The sequence below is a fragment of the Homo sapiens genome, chromosome 7 (genome assembly GCF_000001405.40).
Source record: "Homo sapiens chromosome 7, GRCh38.p14 Primary Assembly".
Classification (NCBI taxonomy): Eukaryota; Metazoa; Chordata; class Mammalia; order Primates; family Hominidae; genus Homo; species Homo sapiens.
Genome location: NC_000007.14, coordinates 66747016 through 66770898, shown reverse-complemented (window position 1 = coordinate 66770898; position 23883 = coordinate 66747016). Strand labels below are relative to the sequence as shown.

The following is a 23883-nucleotide window of genomic DNA, read 5'->3' as shown; positions in this document are numbered from 1 at the left end:
AACAAATGTGAAAAATGCTCAACATCACTAATCATCAGGGAAATGCAAATCAAAATCACAATGAGATATCACTTTACACCCATTAGGATGGCTACTGTAAAAAAAAACAAACCCAGGCTGGGCATAATGGCTCATGCCTGTAATCCCAGCACTTTGGGAGGCCAAGGTGGGAGGATCACTTGAGGCTAGGAGTTCAGGACCAGCCTGGGCAACACAGCAAGATCCCATCTCTACAAAAAACACAACAACTAGCTGGGAGTGATGGTGTATGCCTGTAGTCCCAGCTAATCGGGAGGCTGAGACAGAAGGATTGCCTGAGCCCAGGAGTTGGAGGCTGCAGTGAGGTATGATCACACCACTGCACTCCAGCCTGGGTGACAGAGCGAGGCCTTGTCTAGAGAGAAGAGAAGAGAAAAAAATTGAAATAATACCTTAAGTTCCAAAGTCAGTTTTCTTTTCTACTGTATAATATTTAAACTCATTTGTTCAGTCTCACAGCTGTATGGTAAATCGCTATGCAACAATTTCCGTTCAAACTGAAACCACATGGTCTTCATTCTTCTCCATATAAACAAACTGCCAAACAAGCACAGAAAAAAAGCAGCACTCCACACCATTCATTCAAGAAGACTCACATGTGCAGATAAAATTAAGCCCTATATCTTGGGGATCTTATTAATTTAACTCAAACATTTACTAAGTGCCAACTGTGTGCAGAGAATTGAGCTAGATGGCACTGGTGATGCAACTCATAGAACATGTCCTTACCCTCATGAAGCTCATAACCAAAAGTACAGGCAGACTGAAAAACGCAGAAAAAGAGAAAGTGTTAGGAAACTGTTAGGGAGCAACAGACATAGGAATTCTCACTTACGGAGTATAGAGAGACCACTTGGGGATGCTGGCGATAGACCTTAAAGAGCCTTGTGTTGAAAGGGTCTTGGAAGGATGACAGAAAGAGGGAGGGCATTCTGGACAGGAAGGATGCCTTTCACAAAAAGCTCAGAAGCAAGAAGGCAAGTGTAAAATATGAATGATGTAGCACAGACAGAAGGTAAACTAAACAACTTAGGTGGGAAGTCAAATCATGATGGCTTTTTAAAACTCTAAGCTACAGAGTCTGGATTGAAAGTCACCACTGAAAGCTCCTGAAAAGGGGAAAGCATGATAAGATCTCTATCTTAAGACATAAAACTTGAGATGTAGAGTTCTGTCTTCTAGCATGACTAAGTGAGAAGGAAAATAAATCCTCTCCTGCAAAAGCAACTGTAAAGATGGACAAAACTTCCACTTTCTGCAATGCATCTACGTCCAGGCCAAGGAATGAACTCAAATTTCAAGCCCTCCCCTCTAACCTCACTCTTATTTTTACAAGGTTCTCCTGTGTCTCCTCTGTGTATGCACATGCTCTGCTGATCAGAGTGGAAGCCTAACTAAAGATTGAGATGTTTGAGCGCAATCTCAATCTTTGTCTGAAACAACAATCTTTGGCTGAACATTAAGGTGTGCAGACACACGGGTGACAGCTAGAAGGAAGTCAGGCATAAATGAAAACAAGGAAGAAAAACTGAGCACAGCGACTGCAGTTGCTGGGGAGAGAGGCCTCACAGATTTCATCCAGCTATCAAATCTGGACAGTATGCACTGTGCACTATTTTTGAGGATTCTGAAAAGCAAAATGGAGAAGTGGGGAAGACCAGAATTGGAAGTATCACCCAGCTGTCTAAGAGATTACCACTTTCTTCCAACCAATACCACCAGCCAACCTGGAAATGGGCCCCACAGCACAGAGAAAGCTCCTCTAGTTTGGGCTCCAGCCATGTGAAAGGGAACTCCTAACAGCCAGAGAGAATATGGGGATCCCCCCACTTACCATCTCCTCCTTCTCTTGAGCCACAGTGCCCAGCAATCGTGTGCTTTGTCTGCAGCTATGGCTGAAATGAGAGTGCAGGAGCCAAACTCTGAGGCAGGAGAACTATCAATTTTTCCCAATCTCTATCCTTGGTCTCAAATGTGCAGGCAGTGGTGGAAAGACATGGCAGAGTGGAGTAACTAAATCCACAGTTTTCTGGACAAAAGAAAGAAAATATGAGCCCTTTGAGAACAAAAAGTGTGGGAAAAATTGCTGAGGAGAACTCAAGAAAGCAATTTCTAGGCTTACCCCTAGGCTGCATATGCATGGATCTGACGCTATTCCGTACCAAAGGCTTCCAAATTGGAACTAATGGAGAGACCACTATGCAGGTCTCAGATCAGCACATATATGAAACAGATGGAAACAGCACTACAAAACTCTGAACAATGAACTGACATTAAAGCCACAGCCCACAGAACCTGCATCCCAAATCTGGCAACAAAACAAAACATTTTGCTCTGGGAATAACTGTTTAGAAAACAAAAAGACAAGCTACAGAATGGGAGAAACTACTTGCAGCAAATCACATATTTGGCAAAGAACTTACATACCCAGAATGTATAAAGAACTCTCAAAACTCAGATGTCAGAAAACAAACCACCCAATTTAAAAATGAGCAAAAAACCTCAACAGACACTTTAACAAAGAAGATATATACACTGGTGTCCCACATTTCCATGAGAGGCCTTTGCTACATACTGTGCAGTCAAGGATGTTTGTATATTGAACATCCTTACAAGAGAAAGACGACAGCTCCTTCCACAGCAGAAGACAATTTGTTAACTGTCCAGTACAGTAAATATAATGTCTCCCTTCACATCAAAGGTTTGAAACGTTTGCTTGCAATCCCTCTCCTGGGTATTTCCTCTAGAGAAATAAAAATTGCTATTTACAAAATTCTATACGCAAACGGTTATAGTAGCAATATTTGTGATGACAAAAAATGACAACTAAAATATCCTTCAATGGGTGAATGAATAAACAAACTATGGTGCACCCATACAACAGAATGCTACTCAGGAAAACAACAACAACAGGTATCAGTACACCCAACAACTTTGATGAATCTCAAAGGCTTTATGCTGATAGAAGCCAGCATCTTAGTTCCTTCTGGCTGCAGTAACAAAATACCATAAACTGGGTAGGTTATAAAAAACAGAAATTTATTTCTCACAGTGCAGGAAGCTGGCAAGTTCAAGATCAGGAAGTCAACAGATGTTGGTGTCTGGTGGTTCAATGAAGATACCTTCTCCCTGTGTCCTCACATGGTGGGAGGGGGAGACAGGCTAGGCTCTCTGCAGTCTCTTATAAGGGCACTTACAAGCCCCAGTCATGAGGTCTCCACTTTCATGAACTAATCACCTCCCAAAGGCTCCACCTCCTAGTAGCAACACCTTGTGGTTTAGAATTTCAACATATGAATTTGGGGGACAGACAAAGATTCAGACCATAGCAGCCATCTTAAAAGTTTACATACTATATGATTCCATTTAGGAACTAGGGGTAGGAAAGAATGTGACTATAAAGGATTAGCACGAGAAAGTTTTTTGGGGTGATGAAACTGTTCTGTATTCTGATTGTGGAGGTGTTTACATAAATCTAATAAAATTTAAAAATTCGCAGACCATTATACTCCTCCCAGATCAATTTTACTCTATGATTTAAACAAAAAAAAAACCTCGGCTGGGCACAGTGGCTCACACCTATAATCCCAGCACTTTGGGAGGCTGAGGCGGGTGGATCACCTGAGGGCAGGAGTTTGAGACCAGCCTGGCCAACATGGCAAAACCTCGTCTCTATTAAACATACAAAAATTAGCTGAGCATGGTGGCAGACGTCTGTAATCCCAGCTACTTGGGAGGCTGAGACACAAGAATCGCATGAACCGGGGAGATGGAGGTTGCAGTGAGCCAAGATCATGCCATTGCACTCCAGCCTGGGCAACAGAGGGAGACGCCATCTCAAAAAAAAAAAAAAAAAAAAGAAACTTGACAGGCAATTTCCAGGTTGGATTAGGGAGAAGTACAGAACAGAAGACACAGATACTGACCAAGAGACAACTACAATTAGAGGACTTGAGGTAACACAGTGGGTAGCCAGGCATGGTGGCGCTTGCCTGTAATCCCAGGTACTCAGGAGGCTGAGGCACAAGAATCGCTTGGACCTGGGAGGCAGAGGCTGCAGTAAGCCGAGATCGCACCACTGCACTCCAGCCTGCGCAACAGAGTGAAACCCTGTCTCGAAAATAAATAAATAAATAAATAAATAAATAAGAGGTAACAGTGGGAATGGAAAGACGACGGGTGGTAATCTACCTTAGAGATCAGATCTTTAATAGTTATTTAATGAGACTTGACAGAGAGAGGGAAATCTAATTAGAAAAAACTCTCAAGTTTACTGTTTACTTCCTCTACAAGGTTAAAGCCCTCCAAGGTCAGGATTTAGATCTAAGACACCAGCCATTTATAAATAGTAGATAAGGCTGAGGTAGAAAGCAAGAAAATAACAAGTAGAAAAAAAGAAAAGAATAGAGTCCTAGAATGTTTTTAAAGACCATCTACTACATCCTATAGTAAGAGATAAAGATACTAACATTAAGAAATCATGACTTATTCCATCAAAAAGGTAGTAAGTGGCAGAGACATCACTAAGCACTAAGCTTCCTTTTTTTTTTTTTTTGGAAGACAGGGTCTGTCATTCAGGCTAGAGTGCAGTGGCGTGATCACAGCTCACTGCAGCCTTGACTTCCCGAGCTCAAGCAATACTCCACCACTCAGCCACCATGCCTGGCTAATTGTTGTTATTTTTTTGTAGAGGCGGTGTTTCGCCACGTTACCCAGGTGGTCTTGAACTCCTGAGCTCAAGTAAGCCTATACTTAGTATGCCAAGTCCTGGGTTTCAAATTATTTTGAAAGTCTGAGCTAATCTTGCCATTATCATCCTGATGTCCCTTTTCTTCCCTTCCAAGAGAAATGGGCAAAAGGAAGATACCTATTTTTAAGTATAGATCAATTAAGTTTTTTTAAATTTTGTACTATAAGTATGATAGTACTACTCAATGTTACTAAAATGAACATAGTTTGGGAAGTCTGCCTAGCACATAACCTCCCATGTTATCAGGAAACTGTCCTCTCAATCCACAAAGATAAGCTGGCAGCAGCTATATTTGTATAAGGTGAATGGTCCCCCAATTCAGGATCACAGCTGATTGCCTCCAACTGTGTTAGAGTCTTTTGCTTCGAGTTTTGGAAATGGGACTAAGTCGGGGCTGTTCTCTTGAATGATGGAGCTGTGTGACATGATCCTTCTATCAAGTGGTCTGAGTATCAGGACAGTCTACAGAATGAAATAGACATACCCCAAGAAGCAGAGAAAAGTAGAAGGTCCTGTACGTCCTGAATGATTTCAATCTCCCAGTTCCAATCCCTGGCTAAGGTTTACGTGCACGCCCATCCTCAGATTCTGAGTCATACACCCTGGTCCCCTAACTACTTTTGTCGTTTTTTCTTAAGCTGGTTCCAGTAGAGCCTATTATCTATGCCAAAAGACTTGTACAGATGCTCTTTAAGAGCTAGAAAAACATAAAGGAGTGCTCTGTGGATTACTTGGCATACAATAAAAGCTCACTATGTATTAGACAGAAACAATAACAATAGCTCTGAGTCTAAGAAGACTGATTTGGTGTGGACCATGAAATCACAGAGATCAGTCCTATCTGCACTCCAACCCCAGCTCTGCCACGTACTGGAAATGTAACTTTAGGCAAACTATGTAATATTTCTGAAACTCCCTTTCCTATATCCCTCTCCAACCTCTCTGCTCCTATCATTCTCCACCTTTTCACCCAACTAAGCCTCATAGGACCTGTGCACCCATGACCTTCACTCTCTGGTGCTACACCTGTGATTATGTCACCTTACACTGCAAAAAGGACTTTGCAGATATAATTAAGTTGACTAATCATTAAAATAAGGAGACTATGCTAGATATCTAGATGGGCCCAATGAAAGCACATGAACTCTAAAATGCAGAAGATAACAAGGGCCCAGAATGGCCAAAACAATACTGAAAAAGAATGTAAGAAAACTGACATTTCCTAATTTCAAAACTTACTACAAAGCCATGGTAATTACTACAGCGCGGTACTGGCACAAGGAAAGTCATAGAAATCAACGGAATAGAATTGAGATTCCAGAAATAAACCCATACGTCTTCTGTCAACTGATTTTCCATAAAAGTACCAAGACTACTCAATGGAGAAAAGAAGAGTCTTTTCACCAAATAGTGCCGGGAAAATTGGATAGCCACATGCAAAAGAACGATGTTAGATGTTAGATGCTTACTTCATACCACGTACAAAAACTAACTCAGAATCAATCAAAGACCTAAATGTAAAAGCTAAAACTAAAGCTCTCAGAAGAAAATGTAGAGGTAAAATTTTCATGATATTGGATTTGACAAAGGATGTTTAGATATGGCACCAAAAGCAGGAGCAACAAAAGACAGATAAATTGTACTCCAACAAAATTTTAATGTTTGTGCTTCAGAGGACCTTATCAAATGAAAACAGAACCCACAGAATAAGAGAAAACATTTGCAAGTCATTTATGTAATAAGGAACTTGTATCCAGAATATATAAAAAATTCTTACAACTCAATAAAAATTAACAATTTTTTTTAGCAGGTAAAAGATCTGAATGGACATTTCTCCAGAAAGATATGCAAACAGTCGTGAGTATATGAAAAGATGTTCCACATCATCAGTCATCAAGGAAGTGCAAAACGAAACCACAATGAGATGCCACTTCACATCCAGTAGGATGACTAGAACCAAAAAGTCAGAAATAACAAGTGTTGCCAAGAATGTGGGGAAACTGGAACCCTCATATACTGTTTGTAGGAATGTAAAATGGTACAGCCATTGTGGAGAAGTCTGGCAGTTTCTCAAATGATTAAACAATATTACCATAGAAACCAGCAATTTCACTCCTAGACTAAGAGAAATAAAAACATGTGTCCACAGAGAAACTTGTACGTGAATGTTTATATCAGCATTATCCATAATAGTCCAAGAGCAGAAACAACCCAAATGTACATCAACTGATGAATTAATAAACAAAATGTGGTATATCCATAAAATGGAATATTACTTGGTCATAAAAAGGAATGAAGTGCTGATATATGCTACAACATGGTGAACCCTGAAAACATGCTAAGTGAGAGATGCCAGTTATAGAACACCACACATTATATGATTCCATTCATCTGAACATCCATACCAGGGAAATCTAGAGACAGAAAATAGAGTAGTGGTCACTGAGCACTAAGAGGGATAAGAGAAAGGGCATGGGTTCCTTTTTGAGATGATGAAAATGTTCTAAAGTTGGCTGTGGTAATGGCTGTCACTTAAGTGTGCACTTCAAAAGGGAGAATTCTATGGTATGTGAATTATACCTCAATAAAGCTGTCTTTTTAAAAAACAGAAGAGACAGAATGTGAAGTTAGAGAGAGTCAAAGCACTATTGATGGTTTTGAAGCTGGAGGAGACTAATAGCCAAGAAATTTGAGTGGCTTCTAGAAGCTGAGAATGACTTCTGGCTGACAGCCAACAAAGAAATGAGGACCTCAGACCTTCACCACATGAAAATGAATTCTGCCAACACGAGTGCATCTGGAAGGAGACTCTCTCTATCACCTCCAAATAAAAACCCAGGCTGGCCGATGCTTAATTCTGACCTCCTGAGGTCCTCAGCAGAATACCCAGCGGAGCCTGCTTGAACCTCTAATCTACAGAACTTTCAGATAATAAATGAGTGCTGTGGACTAGGGGCAATGGCTCACGCCTGTATTCCCAGCACTTAGGAAGGCTGAAGTAGGACGACTGATTGAGGCTGGGAATTTGAGGCTGCAGCGAGCTATGACTGCACCACTGAACTCCAGCATGGGCAACAGAGACCTTGTCTCTTAAAAAAATAAAAATAAAAAATAAATGAGTGTTTTAAACTGCTATCCTTCCCACTTACCCCTTTGTTGGGAGAGCCTTTGCACATGCTATTCCAAAGTGAGGAATGCTGTGGCCCTTGCTGTCCAGGTGGTGGTTTGTTTCTCATCGTTTAGGTCTAAGCTTTCACATCAGACTGTGAGAGGCCTTCACTAGCCTCTGTGAAATACTACCTACCCCAGCCTACCCAACCCTCATCTCCGTATTGGACCCAATGCCATTTCTCCATGTCCTATTTATTATTATTCTTTTGGGGGACGGGGGTGGCAGGAGAGGGTAGAGGCGTGTTCTTACCACCTGGCCCAGGCTGGCCTTGAACTTCTTACAGATGTGAGCCACCATGCCCAGCCTTCATGTCCTATTTCTTTTTTTTCTTTTTTTCTTTTCTTTTCTTGAGACAGGGTCTCACCCTGTCACCTAGACTAGAGTGCAGTGGTGTGATCATGGCTCACAACACTCGACCTCCCCAGGCTCAAGCGACCCTCTCGTCTCAGCCTCTTGAGTAGCTGGGACTATAGCATGTGGCACCATGCCTGGCTAAGTTTTGTATTTTTTGTAGAGACAGGGTTTCGCCATATTGACCAGGCTGATCTCGAATTCCTGGCCTCAAGTGATCCACCCACCTTGGCCTCCCAAAGTGCTGGGATTATAGGCATGAGCCACTGCACCCAGCCTCCATGTCCTATTTCTAATAAATATTTTTTATTTACTTATTTACCCATTGGTCTGTCTCCCTCACTGCCAGAATGCAATTTGCTGAGGACAGAGACCTTATTTTCCTTCTCCACTGTTACATTTCTAGTGACTCAAATAGTACCAGTGTGGTGTTATAATATATATTGGTTTTCGTCCACAGTCCCTGGCTGGTAACTACCATAGCCCTCATCCTAGGATTTTATGTTTTTGTTTTTGTTTTTTTGTTTTTTTTTGAGACAGGGTCTCGCTCTGTTGCCCAAGCTGGAGTGCAGTGGTGAGGTCTCAGCTCACTGCAACCTTCGCTACCTCCCGGGTTCAAGTGATTCTCCTGCCTCGGCTTCCCAAGTAACTGGTACTATAGGTGCCTGCCACCATGCCCAGCTAATTTTTGTATTTTAGGTAGAGATGGGGTTTCACCATGTTGGCCAGGCTGCTCTCGAACTCCTGACGTCAAGTGACCTGCCTACCTCAAACTCCCAAAGTGCGGGATTACAGGCATGAGACACCACGCCCACCCCCAGGCTTTTGTTAAAAGGCTGGGTGTGTTAGGCTTCATGGGCAGCCTCTCTTTCTCCTACCCTCCTTTTACCTGCCCCAAGGCAGGACTCTATTCTGGATTGGTCTTAAACCCTCCCCAGAGAGGGTCCAGCTCTGTACTCTGAGGGACGAATGCTGGTGTCAGGAAGCCTCCATAAAAACCCAAGAGAACTGGGCCCAGGAAGCTTTCAGACAGCTGAACACAGTGCAGGTTCCTGGAGGGTGTGCACCCAGGGAAGGCATGGAAGTTCTGCACCTTCCCCCATTCCTCGCCCCCAGCATCTCCTTTACCTGGATCCTTTGCAATATCTGTTATAATAAACCAGTAAACAGAAGCATCTCCCTGAGTTCTGTAAACCACCTCAGCAAATTAATTGAACCTAAAAAGGGAGCCATGGGAACCCCAACTTGAAGCTGGTCAGTTAGAACTTCTGGAGGCCCAGAGTTGCAACTGATGGGGGTTAGGAGGGGCACTCATGGGGACTGAGTCCTCACCCTGTGTGATCTGACACTATCTCCTGGTAGATAGTGCAGGAAGTGAACTAGAAGACACCCAGCTGGTGTGGTGTGTAGGGGAAGAAACCCAACACATATGGTCATGGAAGTCTTCTGTGTTGATGATTCCTGTGGCGTGAGCAGAGGAAAAACACAGTTTGAGGGGTTTTGTTCCCTGCACAACTGGGCATATCACAGGTTCTCAATTCTTTGTTGAAAGAAGAAAAACTAAATGAATAAGGTTATTGTAGAGACCATAGAATAACAGGGCTATAAAGCAATGATACGTACTAAACGCTTAATAAATACAAAAATCCCTTCCCCAGGGCCAGGTGCAATGGTTCACGCCTACAATCCCAGCACTTTGGGAGGCGAAGGTGGGAGGATGGCTCAAAGTCAAGCGTTCAAGACCAGCCTGGGCAACACAGCAAGACTCTGTCTCTATTATTTAAAAATGTTCAAAAATCTCTTCCCCTCGTGAGTATTAGCCATTATGTTAAAATTATAAATGCTGGCTGGGTGCGGTGGCTCATGCCTGTAATCCCAGCACTTTGGGAGGCTGAGACGGGCAGATCACATGGTCAGGAGTTTGAGACCAGGCTGGCCAACACAGTGAAACTCCATCTCTATTAAAAATACAAAAATTAGCCGGGCATGATGGCATGCACCTGTAGTCCCAGTTCCTCAGGAGGCTGAGGCAGGAGAATCACTTGAACCCGGGAGGAAGAGGTTGTGATGAAGTGAGGCCGTGCCATTGCACTCCAGCCTAGGCAATAGAGCGAGACTCTGTCTCCAAAAAAAAAAAAAAAAAATACATGCTAACCAACTTTACAAGGGAAAATAAACATCTATGGGATGGTTAAATAAACTGGGGCATGACCACACAAGAGAATACCGAACACTAAAAAGAACAAACTATTAACACAAGAGCAACATGTTGAGTTTTCTAAAAAGTGCATCTTAAAAGGTCACATACTCTAGGATTTCTACAACCTTTCCAAATGACAAAACCACAGATATGGAGGACAAATTAGTGCTTTTTCCAGGTTAAGAGTGTCGAAGGCAAGGAAGAGGAGGGGAAGGAAAATGGTGTAAGCAGTTAACCCAGCAGGCCTGAGTTGCTCAAATGATGCACATTCTCAGACGGGCCTGCTTGGTCAGCTGGGTTAGACTGGCCCTTGGTCAGCTCCTAGAAACTGAGGTCTTGTACTAGCCCTATGCTCTATATGATAAGGGTGTTTTGTATGGTTACGGTACTGAACCACACTGTCCAGCTTGTCTAGATATTTTGTGCAAACTGTATGATTTATGGTAAACACCTGATTTCCTTCTGGAGTTGCTGTAACGGTGATCAGTTTTAAAGGGACTATATGCCTATGTGATATGGTTTGGAACTGTGTCCCCACCCAAATGTCATGCTGAATTGTAATCCCCAATGTTGGAAGTGGGGCCTGTGAAAGGTGATCTGATCATGGGGCAGTTAATCATGAATGGTTTCGCACCATCCCCTGTGGTTCTGTGCTTGTGAGATCTGGTTGTTTAAACGTGTATAGCACCTTCTCTCTTGCTCCTGCTCCCACTAGGGGAGACACTTTGCTCCCCCTTTGCTCTCCACTATTACTGGAAGCTTCCTGAGGCCACCCTAGAAGCAGAAGCTGCAATGTTTCCTGTACAGCCTGTAGAACTGTGAGCCAATTAAACCTCCTTTCTTTATAAATTACTCAATCTCAGGTATTTCTTTATAACTACGTGAGAATGAACGAACTAATATACTATGTGACCAACCTCCAGTAAAAGCCCTGGATTCTGAGGTGTACATGAGCTTTCACAATAAAAAACACTTCACACATGTTGCTAGAGTTTACGGCTGGGGAAGTAAGCACATCCTGGGCAACTCTGCTGGGAGAAGACGCTTCGAATCTTAACAATGCTGGTGTCCTGTAGAATCTGCTCAATGCACAACTAACCTTTATTAATCCTACTTTGTATCCCCTCACTGTAACAAACCATAGCAAGGAATAAATATGTCCTGTGAGAGCCTCGAACGAATTACGAAACCTGGGGGCAGCCCTGGGGACTGCTGACACAGGATGTGACTACAGAGTCATAAGGGAAGTCTTTGGGGTAATGGAATAGTTCTGTATCTTGACTATGGTGGTGGCTACAGGAATCTACGTATGAGATGAAATGTGCATGACACTATACACATACATTGCACAAATATCAATTTCCTGGTTTTGACATTACATTATAGTTATGTAACATGTAACCATTAGGCAAACTAGAAGAGTACACAGGACCTGTCTGTACTGTATTTACAGCTTCCTATGGATTTGAAGTCATTAATTGTTCCAAATTTTAAAGTTTAGTTAAAAATCACACATGAACGTTTTTTAATAAAAATAACACCTATCATGGGACTAATGTGTACCAGTTAAACACAACACTCAGATCATTCTGCTGCTTCTAAGTATAAAAAGAGAGCAAGGGTACCACCAAAAGAGAGTGCCATCATTTGAAAGGCTATGTGGTGGTGGTGACAGCTGTTACGGTAGAAGGCAGGAGAGTCGGCACACCCAGATTGGACATCACAGCTACAGACAGCATATCCTGTAAACACAGGAAGAAACATGGGGGATCAGCTGCGTGAGACTCAACTCCTTCTCTCCTGGGCAGACAGACCTGTCCCTAGACAGTAACCACCACCAGCACTGCTTCCAGGAGGGAGCTCCGAGGGGCCACACATCGCTCCTGTTGGAGCACTGCATTCCAATAAATAGAAGCTTGGTTGAGCAACCTGGGCATAAAGAATGCACAATTCAATTGGTCCCACTTATGTCAGGGAAGACAGAGTAAAAATGATCTCTGCTGCTGGGACAGTTAGGATTCTGTAAATTGTGCCTCGGCGCTAGGTTTTATTCTAGGTCCAGGTACCCTAAAAAGGACAGAGAGGTACAAAGCTTACTTACAAAGCTCACAGAACTATTAGTGTTCTTTCTTAAGGCTCTGGATGCAAACCAGTTTCGTCTCAGAAAAGCAAAACGAAAATACTTTGCAGATGTGAGTAGTTTCCCTCTATCCTTCTTGGCGGTCCGCTTCCTATTCCTGGGTTCAATGTCATGCCCTCAGAGGTCATTCCTCTCTCCAGGCAACTCATCTGGGACTTACAGGAAACATCCAATCAATTCTAGTAAAACGATAAGGTATCCTTTGACCTCAGTTAAGAAATAAAACTTACGGGTGATTTTTTTCCCTTAAATTTTTTTTCCAGTTAGAAAATAATGGAATACTCATTATTTACAAAACCTGATATATACAGACAAGCAAAAAAAAATGTTTTGGTCGGCCGGGCGCAGTGGCTCACGCCTGTAATCCCAGCACTTTGGGAGGTCGAGGCGGGCGGATCACGAGGTCAGAAGATCGAGACCATCCTGGCTAACACGGTGAAACCCCGTCTCTACTAAAAATACAAAAAGTTAGCCGGGCATGGTGGCAGGCGCCTGTAGTCCCAGCTACTCAGGAGGCTGAGGCAGGAGAATGGCATGAACCTGGCAGGCGGAGCTTGCAGTGAGCCGAGATCATGCCACTGCACTCCAGCCTGGGCGGCAGAGCGAGACTCCATCTCAAAAAGAAAAAAAGTTTTAGTCATCATCCAGAGGCAGTTACTGTATATGGTACATATTCCTATAGTGTTCCCTCTGCATTCATTCAAATATTTATATACTGATTGATTACTGCACGAAAGGCACTTGGGATACAAATGTAAGTAAAAATAAATCATTTCAGTCATTGCGGAGCTTAGTGTGTAATATGAGAGATATGACTATGTATCTGAAAGGCCTAAAGAAAATAAAACACTATTAATGCTGAGAAATTAACTTTAAAATGGCTAACTTTAAAAAAGAATTCACATTTATGTGAAATAAGCTAGATAGGTACATGAAATCTGTGGAACTCTTGTAACAGAGAAACAATAACAAGTTAGAAAGTATAAAAAAGATATCAGTCATAATAGCATCAATATGTAAACACTTGTAGAAAAACATTTTAATGAGAAAATATAATCCACATAAAAATATGGAAATATACTTAACATAATGTGTGAAAATAAATGTTGTAACAGTGTCAAACATTCCAAAATGTGTAAGTTTACTACAAATGGCCATAAAAATCCCACAAGACTTTTTGGAACTCAACAAAATGAATGTCAGCAAAAATAAACAGACTCAATTATTTTTTGATTTTCTAAATTAATTTTCTGAATTTTTATTTGCAAACTAGTTAGAAGACTGTGAACACAAGAACAGACCTGTCAAACCACTACAGGATACACTGACTCAAAAATGAATCTAATGTAATATATAAGGTAATTTAATGTTAGAAGAAGGAGGGGAAGGGGAAATTTTCAATAAATAGTGTTGCAATAACTGGTCAGCAATCTGACACCCCCTACATTAATTACAGGTATCTTTAAAAAGTTAAAGATTTTAGAGACAAACAGAAAATGGAAAGAACTAAAATGAAGTATTCATGAAAGTTCTAAAGAGATGAGTGTCATCTAAGGTTACAAACTGCAGGGAAAGTCAGAAAGGAAACAAAACTTAAAATACATAAACTGAAACATCTAGCTAGTTTTTAAGAGGCTATCTGTAGCCAAAATATAAAAGCAAATAAGGGACTAGAAAAAAAAATCTGAACAGGACAATGAAGTATTTTATTAAATTCAGAAATAGTACTAACACAATTTATAAATCTTTGATAGCCAAGCAGGACAAGGTTATGAGCAGACCATGACCTTGAGCAGACCGCAAAATGTGAGCAGTTTGCTAGAAACAGAAACGGAATGCCAAAGGGTATGTGCATTTAAAATTCTGACATATACCAAACTGGTCTGACAAAAAGGCTATACCATTTACATTCCCACCTACAGTGTATGAGGGAATCTGGTCTCCCATAACCTCATAAGCATAGCATTATCGAACTTTAATTTTTTGTCAATCTGACAGGCAAACAAAAAAAATCATTTAACGTGCATTTCCCTAAGGTTAGCCATCTTTAGAGATATTTATTAGCACTAGTATATTTTCTTTGAATAACTGATTTTGCTCATTTTTCTATGTCATTACTATTTTCTTTTGATTTATAGATATTCTTCTTATATATCTTTCAGTACTCACCTTCATGGTATGAAGACGCCATCATTCTAATAAAAGACTTATTAGCATTTGCAATCTGTAATCCAAGGTTCACCAACTTTCATATGATTAAATATAATGCTTCCAAAATGAATGTGAATGTCAATGTCAGAGTTTTAATGTTAAATATAACAAAACATTATTTGTCCAAACGTTAGCTTGGACAAATAATTCCAAATGATAATCAACTCCCTGGAATACAATGTAGAGTTGATTGCTGCTGGAATGAGCAGAGCAAGCAGGGGAGCATTCTCAAGGAATGAGTTCTAGACAACAGTCTTCTATTGTACTAGATCACGCTCTCCTTGGTTAAGCAAAATTGTAACTCTAATCTGAGCATGCCATTCTCCGGAATAACAGCTCAAAATTACATACAAGATAATCTGGCTACCGTAGCCTACTTTGTACCATTCTCTATGCCCTCGCCCAGGGAAGCAGCACAAATGGTCAATTTATTCACTAAGTTACTGACCAAAAATTATTTCTCCTAACTCCACCTAAGGTAACAGCAACTTGCAACATATTAGGTGGTCTCTGTTAAAGGCATTTCTTTTCTTTACGCTTTTTTTTTCTTTTCTTTTCTTGACATAGGATCTGGCTCTATAACCCAGGCTAGAGTGCAGTGGCATGATCACAGCTCACTGTAGCCATGACTGCCCAGGCTCAAGTGATCCTCTCCACCTTAGCTTCCCAAGTAGCTGGGACTACAGGTGTGCATCACCATCCCTGGCTAAATTTTTTGTTTTTTGTTTTTTGTTTTTTTTTTGAGACAGAGTCTCACTCTGTTGCCCAGGCTGGAGTGCAGTGATGCAATCTCAGCTCACTGCAAGCTCCGCCTCCCAAGTTCACACCATTCTCCTGCCTCAGCCTCCAGAGGAGCTGGGACTACAGGCACCTGCCACCACGCCCAGCTAATTTTTTGTATTTTTAGTAGAGACCAGGTTTTACTGTGTTAGCCAGGATGGTCTCAATATCCTGACCTCGTGATCCGCCTGCCTTGGCCTCCCAAAGTGCTGGGATTACAGGTGTGAGCCACCGTGCCTGGCCAACAGAGACAGGATCTAGCTATATTTCCCAGGCTGGTCTCGAACTCCTGGCCTCAAGCAATCCTCCCATGGTTTGCCACCCAAAGTGCTGGGATTACAGCCATGAGACAATGCACTCAGCTCAGAACTTTTTTCTCAAAGGCATATCATAGTTTTAGCTTTGCTGTAGCCATTTCATCCATAATCACTTGCTGTGGCTGGGTAAAGTGATACACACATACACACACGCCCACACTGGTTTAGAGAAATACAAAACGCAATGCCTAGACGTGAAATGTATTTATTCAGATTTGTTAGATGGCGCAATCAAATAAATATTTGTGTTATGCTCTAAGCTTTTAAGAAGTCTTTTGTATCTAAAATATAAGACACATATGTAAATGACATCCAGCTGAGCTGGACTGGCCAATGTACTGAAAAAGGGCTACCACATGTAGCTACAAGGTCTCACCCTGTTGGCCAGGCTGGTCTCCAACTCCTGGGCTCACGTGATCTGCCCACTGTGGCCTTCCAAAGTGCTGGGATTACGGGTATAAGCCCCCATGCCTGGGCTAAATTCTCAACAGAAATAATAGAAGCCAGAAGATAACCTGACAGTGCTGAAAGATATTAAAGTATGATGGCTTTAAAAAAAAAAAAAAAGCTGAAAGAAAAAACCTGCCACCTAGCATCCAGTGCTCAGTGACTATTTCCTTTAAAAACTGATGGCAAAGGCCTGGCACAGTGGCTCAGGCCTGTAATCCCAGCACTTTGGGAGGCCAAGGTGGGCAGATCATGAGGTCAGGAGATCGAGACTGTCCTGGCTAACATAGTGAAACCCCGTCTCTACTAAAAATACAAAAAAATTAGCCAGGCGTGTTGGAGGGCGCCTGTAGTCCCAGCTACGCGGGAGGTGAGGCAGGAGAATCGCTTGAACCCAGGAAGCAGCCGTTGCAGTAAGCCAAGATTGCGCCACAGCACTCCAGCCTGGGCAACAGAGCAAGACTCTGTCTCAAAAAAAAAAAAAAATGGCCTAGTACGTTGGCTCATGCCTGTAATCCCAGCACTTTGGGAGGCAGAGGCAGGTGGATCACAAGGTCAGGAGTTCAAGAACAGCCTGGCCAACACAGTAAAACCCCATCTCTACTAAAAATACAAAAATTAGCCAGGCATGATGGCGCATGCCTGTAGTCCCAGCTACACAGGAGACTGAGGTAGGAGAATTGCTTGAACCCGGGAGGCAGAGGTTGCAGCGAGCCAAGATCGTGCCACTGCACACCAGCCCAGGTGACAGTGTGAGACTCTGTCTCAAAAAAAAAAAAAAAAAAAAAAACGATGGCAAAATAGACATTTTCAGATGAGAGAAAAAACACTGTTATGCGAAGACATCCACTGGAAGAAATACCAGGGAGAGCTCTTCAAACTGAAAGGGAAATTACCCTACCCCAACTGGAACACAGAGATGCAGAGAGACCCTGGCCCAAAATACAACTTTTATATCCACTGGGTAACACAAAAATTTGTGTGACTCACTTTATTACAGTGGTGCAGAACCAAACCCGTAATATCTCCAAAGTATGCCTGTAATATTTTACAGCAGCCCTGGGGGAAAAATATACCATCCAATAAGAATTGTTGTAAACTCTACAAATAATTAGAAGAAATGAGTTTTCCACAAATTTACATCGAACTCTGGGTTCACAGCAACACCTGTTCTTTACAAATAGGACAATCATACACCCCAGTTAGCAAGCAACAGTCCTGGCCTAAAAGCACCCCCTTTGATTCTCAAAAGTGACCACCTGTGGATAATAAGTTACATGGTCATCCTATTTATGAACCCACTTAGAATACCCTTCTGTCTGTTCACCTTCAAATCCTACCCTGTTCAAGGATCAAGGGACATCTGACTCCAACTTCCCCACTGACAGGGTAATTCTCTCTCCCGTTCCTGTAGCTTTTTATAAATACAGCCATTATAATACTCATGTCCTATTACAATTACTTGCTTACATGTCCACCCCATGCTCTTAGCCACTTAGCACAGTGCCAGGAACTGAGGAGGTGCTCAATAGATGTTTTCTAGGTTTCTCAAACAATTCATCAGAAGACTGGCAAAGTACCTGCAGAGACAGTGTTCTCTCACTTTTGTCCCTTCCACACTCTCCAGGGCCCAGTGAAGGTGGGAGTAAAAAAATTAAACAGCAAACAACTAACCTGACAAGCAGTGTTTCTCAGACTTGAATGTACATCAATATCACTTGGAAGACTAGTTAAAACACAGAGTACTGGGTCCCACCCCAGAGTTTCTGATTCAACTGGCCTGGGAAAGGGCCTGAGAATTCGAATTTAACAAGTTTCCAGGTGATACTGCTAGGAACTACCTTTGAGAACCACTGCTATAAAGAAAACACCACAATTACGAAAATGTCCATTTATTCTCAGGACTTCATTCCCAATGGGAGACTCCCTTTTCTGAATATGAGGAACCATGAGAGAGCTTTTGGAAGAGACAAAAATCAAGACTTTTTTTTTTTTTTTAGACGGAGTTTCACTCTTGTTCCCCAGGCTGGAGTGCAGTGGCATGATCTCGGCTCACTGCAACCTCCACCTTCTGGTTTCAAGTGATTCTCCTGCCTCAGCCTCCCAGTAGCTGGGATTACAGGTGCCCGCCACCATACCTGGCTAATTTTTGTATTTTTAGTAGAGACAGGGTTTCACCATGTTGGCCAGGCTGGGCTCGAACTCCTGACCTTGTTGTGATCCGTCCACCTCGGACTCCCAAAGCGCTGAGATTACAGGCGTGAGCCACCTCGCCCAGCCAAGACTTTTTTTTTTTAATTGGGACAGAGTCTGTCACTCAGGCTGGAATGCAGTGGCACAATCATGGCTCACTGTAGCCTCAAACGTCTGGCCTCAAGCAATCTTGAGCCTCAGCCTCCTGAGTAGCTGAGTTCAAGCCACAACACCTGGCTAGTTTTTTGCGGGTTTTTTTTGGTTTGTTTATATAGATGGGGTCTTTGTTGCCCAGGCTGGTCTTGAAGTCCTGGGCTCAAGTGAGCCTCCCACCTTGGCTTCCCAAAGTGCTGGGATTACAGGTGTGAGCCAATGTGCCCAGCCTAAGATTTTGACTTTTGGGACTCAAGGGCCCAGTGAAATAGGAGTCAAAGATCCGGGGAGGAGGCTGGTTTTCCCCTGAAGACACAATCCAAATTCTATAGCCACACAGGGAAGGCTTCAAAACAAAACTAAAAGCCTCTGAAAATCAAGAGTGAAATTTTCAGCAATCTCATTGTTCTCAAGAGACAAATATGACAGTATAAAACCTCTGTCGGGGAGGGACTCCTATAAACTCCCAGACTATCAGCTGAAAGTCTTAGGTGGGTACCTGCTAGGAGTAAGGGCAAATCAGAGCAAAATGCGGCCTTATCCAACCTGCAACACAACCTCAACCCTCAGCTCAGTCTCTAGCAGTATTAGGTGATCAGCCCCACTCTACCTGCCTAGCAAAAGGAAGAGTGATTTCTTCTCTGAAAAATAGCATCATCCAGACCCTTACTGTATTCACGATGTCTCACATTCAGATAACTAAAAACCAACAGGAAACGCAGATAATAGAAACAGATGCTCAGATGATTTATACTTGATTTTACCAGAAAGACTTATTTAATGGTATGTTTTTAAAAACAGAAAAAAAGAGGGAAGGCCAGGTACGGTGGCTCACGCCTGTAATGCCAACACTTTGGGAGGCCGAGGCAGGCGGATCACCTGAGGTCAGGAGATCGAGACCAGCCTGGCTAACACGGTGAAACCCCGTCTCTACTAAAAATACAAAAATTAGCCAGGTGCGGTGGCGCACGTCTGTAATTCCAGCTACTCAGGAGGCTGAGGCAGGAGAATTGCTTGAACCTGGGAGGTGGAGGTTGCAGTGAGCCAAGATCACACCACTGCACTCCCGCCTAGGCGACAATGTGAGAGACTCCGTCTCAAAAAAAAAAAAAAGAAAAAAAGAGGGAAAACATAAAAAGATTAAGAATTTCAACTGTGAATTGGAATTTGTGTCAAACTGAAATTCTAGATCTGAAAAGTATTTCTAAAATTAAGAATTCAAACCGTGTATTTAACAGCAGAACAAACACAGGAGAAGAGTATTTTCTAGTACTCAGATTCTTCTCCAAATACACATAAAGCGTCTGCTGAAGAATGAAACTGAAATCTTTGCATTTCACTGACGTAAATGGCAGAATCACTACCATAATCACTATTGCTCATGTTTGGGGCTGGAACTGGTTGGACCTGTAGTCCAACTGGCTGATCAGTTTTTCTGTCAGAATCTAAGAACCTTAACCTTAAAATAATCTCAACTTATTTCTCAAGCACCATTATATGTGTGTATATTATATTTAAATGTACCAATATATTTATAGCACTAGAAAAATATGTATCTTTTAATGCATTGAGTTACTAGACAGAAGTATTAAAAAGGCAAAAATTCCTCTTTAAGGAAATAGCTTACATCCTATAAGTGCTCTTACAGGTAATGAAAAAACTGTGTCTGCAATTTGTTCCCTAATATGTCATAAACCAAAAATAGGCTCTTGGGAGAAAGTAATATCTACTCAACATAGCTGGTATTTAAAGAACTTAAATACTGAATTTCAGTACTGTCTCTGTCATAAAACATTGTATTTCCTGGGGCAAGTAACACCTTAACAATGTTTTATAAAAAGCATCAGCAGTTAGCATATGGGTATGAAAACACTTTGCCATTGAATTTCTCATAGATGGTATTAAAAAGTGTCCATTCATGACTATACAACTTTTAAAACCCTAGACAAATAAAAATCCACATGCACTCACTACAAATAAAATCTACACTCTCATCAGACAAAATCTACATTCTCAATACAACCCCAACTGCAACGGCCAATAAATTTACACAAATAAAAATATAATCCAACTTGCTAAACAGGACCCAAACGTATTATCTCGTGAGACACCAGTTATGATAAATTTTGGACATTCTATTTCATTATTCTGTAGTTTTGTTTGTTTGTTTTTGAGATGGAGTCTCGCTCTGTCGCCCACGCTGGAGTGCAGTGGTGCGATCTCGGCTCACTGCAAGCTCCGCCTCCCAGGTTCCAGCGATTCTCCTGCTTCAGCCTCCCGAGTAGCTGGGACTACAGGCGCCCACCATCACACCCAGCTAATTTTTTAAAATATTTTTAGTAGAGACGGGGTTTAACTGTGTTAGCCAGGATGGTCTCTATCTCCTGACCTCGTGATCCGCCCGCCTTGGCCTCCCAAAGTGCTGAGATTACAGGTGTGAGCCACCGTGCCTGGCCTGTTTGTTTGTTTTTAGAGATGGAGTCTTGCTTTGTTGCCCAGGCTAGAGTGTAGTGGCTATTTACAGACACAATCATAGTGCACTGCAGCCTCTAATACCTGACCTCCGGCAATCCTCCTGCCTCAGCCTCCCAAGTAGTTGGGACTACAGGTGAACAACACCTCGCAAAGTTCTGTTTTTTGTTTTTACACTTTGTATTTGCTTTCTTACAATATTCTATTCAAAACTTTGGTCACTAGCCCAACTCCTTTTTGAGGAACACATTTAGAAAACAATGTCAAAAGCTTTATGGATATACAATTAAGGAAACACAGCATTACATAACTATATTTAGGCAAGGGCAGTTTCACCCACTGTTTACTGAGTAAGAGTGAATAAGGATGGTCTCTCTCCATTAACACAATGCATGGCTCCTGCTAGCATTTGATAAATTTGAACTATTATTACTTGAAAGTGCAACTGTTCAGCTGGAGCAAAATACAGGCAATACAACTTACTGGACATTTCATCTGAGACGAGTAGATCTGGATCTGCTCCCATCTTCATATTTGGTATTCCCTCAGCCCATCTCTGTATGGAGGTGAGGTGGCTTTCATTCAAATATGTGCCCCTGTCAGACATACACTGGGTCATGCCACCACCAGGGCTTCAGTGGAGGAAGTCACGGTGAGCCTGAAGGCCTGATATCACCTACCAAGAGCCTCAGGGAACCCAGCCAGCAAAGCAGCAGCGGCCTTGCTCTTATGACATAAAACAGTTTTTGGAGAGTGCCCAGAACCAGGGTGACAGAAAACTCTGTGAGGGTTTCAATAAGGTGCTGAAACAGTGCAGACTTGCAAACAGATTGGTCTAATCAGAAAGTTCGAATTGGAGAAATGGAAAATCAGCTCTCATAACCAAGTGATTTAGCACAAAAATACAATTGATAGTGAAGGTATAAAGTGTAATCATCAGGTAAACCTCTCCTCTCTCATAGCGTCCCTGCTTCAGGACTGCAATGGAAAAGGAAATTCTTACTGTGTAGAATTTCATTAAGATGGCTGGGTAGATGTTTGTGTGGCACCCTTGAACTAGCCGTTATGATTTTATTCTTTGTTGAGTTAATTAGAATAAAGTGATTTTCCTCAAAAAACAAACAAACAAATATGTGCCCTTGTCAGACTGTTCCATCGTGATACCCCCACGATAAACCATGCCTGTTAAAACATATGGTTCCGTGATTCACCAACAACAGAAAACAGATGCATTCAAGGAACTTGTGAGGAAGCACAAACTCAAACCCCACTGCTGATAAATTCATTACAAAAGATCCACTGAGAAAGTATGGAAGGTAGGTGAAGAATGTGCAATCCACCTACTCATCTAGATAATCTAAAACAGATCCTTAAATCAGCCTAGAGATCTAAGTACTCGGATCACATTATTTTGCAGGCAAGAGAAATGCTTTTACGGAATGTTTTGATGTTATGTCACCGTCTTACACAAAAAGCCAATAAGGAGTTTTACTAACACACAAAGTAAAACTCGACACCCAGCCCTTTGAAACGCATGCTGGAAAGTCTTTGGGAATCCAAAGCAGAAATGATCTCTTTTGTCGTATGGTCACTGACCCATGTAACTGATTATATTTCTCTCTTAATTGGCTACTCAAAAGCAAAGCCAAATTTGTGGCCCTCTGCACTTAAGACTTCAGTCCAAGTGCTCTGTGTACACAGCTCATTCCTGTTTCCATCTTAATTTTCCCTCAGTCCTGCATTCCTCACCCACTTATCTGTTATGTTACCAACAGTATGTCGCACGTATCTTTGTAAGTCATTACAAACCCTTTCTGGAACAAGATGTGGAATAATGGAATAAGTAAATGATATGTTCCACTGAAAAAAATTATAGCACAATAAGAAAACATTTTCTTCGATTAATAAACATTTTCTATGTTCAATTTCTAATGGCATTTTCTTTTATGTGCTCCAAAGTACCTTCTAAAGGAAAAATGAAAGTGCTTAAAATTAGAAAATTCTAATTTTAAGAATTTAAATTTCCTCTGTACAACAGAGGAACTACAAAAATAAAACTTTCACTATGTATTTTTAACTGCAAAGCACACAGAAAATTATAAATATACCCCTATGTGAAAATCCCCCAAAAGCGATTTTTAATTTTAGCATACAGACCAAATCACCATAAATTCAATTACAGTTGTGTATTTATTTTGAATGGGAACTGAACAGACTAGCTTCAAATGTGGTTCATAAGGTCTTTGTACAATTCCTCCTGAGTTGTTCTGTGCCTAGCATAGAGGATGCTGCCAAACCATTCCTTAGGGTGAAACAGCAGAGAATTTAGAGCCCTCAAAACTCTTGTTACATTCCTGCTTCAGAGATTTCAGCAATCTGCTCACTGTTACTGGGGGAAAATTAAAAAGCTTAATACTCTCTCAGTGTGTAATATTTTACGCATTCATGAACACATACTTATTCTAACTTCTGACTTTTAACCACATTTAATTAATTGATCATAATAATGGTATTTGGCCCTCTTAATGACCATTGCCAAGAGAGCTATGCTACCAGAAACAAATTAAAATGTTCCACTAGGGCCGGGCACGGTAGCTCACACCTGTAATCCCAGCACTTTGGGAGGCCAAGGCAGGTGGATCACCTGAGGTCAGAAAT

At 41.8% G+C, this 23883-nt stretch overlaps 1 protein-coding gene and 1 long non-coding RNA gene across 41 annotated transcripts in view, besides 1 other annotated feature; both read right to left on the bottom strand.

Annotated features, from left to right (window-relative positions):
* The window catches only part of RABGEF1 (RAB guanine nucleotide exchange factor 1), a 156898-nt gene that overhangs the window by 40566 nt on the left and 92449 nt on the right, over window positions 1-23883 (bottom strand). For 4 of the 40 annotated variants that reach the window (NM_001367740.1, NM_001367743.1, NM_001287062.2 and 1 more), the window contains one exon: window positions 1874-2068. The exons of 31 other annotated variants lie outside the window; for them this stretch is intronic. Coding sequence is in view for 1 of the 9 variants with exons in the window: in NM_001287061.2 (NP_001273990.1) it covers window positions 14822-14846 (25 nt within the window). In the remaining 8 variants the exon portion in view is untranslated. Of the gene's footprint in view, window positions 1-431; window positions 577-1873; window positions 2069-9644; window positions 9774-14821; window positions 15018-23883 lie in introns of those variants that run through there. 5 more of the 40 variants (NM_001367731.1, NM_001367736.1, NM_001367726.1 and 2 more) reach the window with 4 other exon arrangements.
* LOC107986707 (uncharacterized) lies at window positions 10425-13040 on the bottom strand. The gene is made up of 2 exons (XR_001744945.1): window positions 12614-13040; window positions 10425-12254 (listed from the first exon to the last, which is right to left on the bottom strand). It is a non-coding gene; the product is annotated as an uncharacterized LOC107986707 (long non-coding RNA).
* Window positions 20138-20197: an enhancer, noted in NCBI's record as "active region_26087". NCBI's record gives its function as "activates an Ori minimal core promoter by ATAC-STARR-seq in GM12878 lymphoblastoid cells {active_cell/tissue: GM12878}" and the evidence as "EXISTENCE:reporter gene assay evidence [ECO:0000049][PMID:35858748]".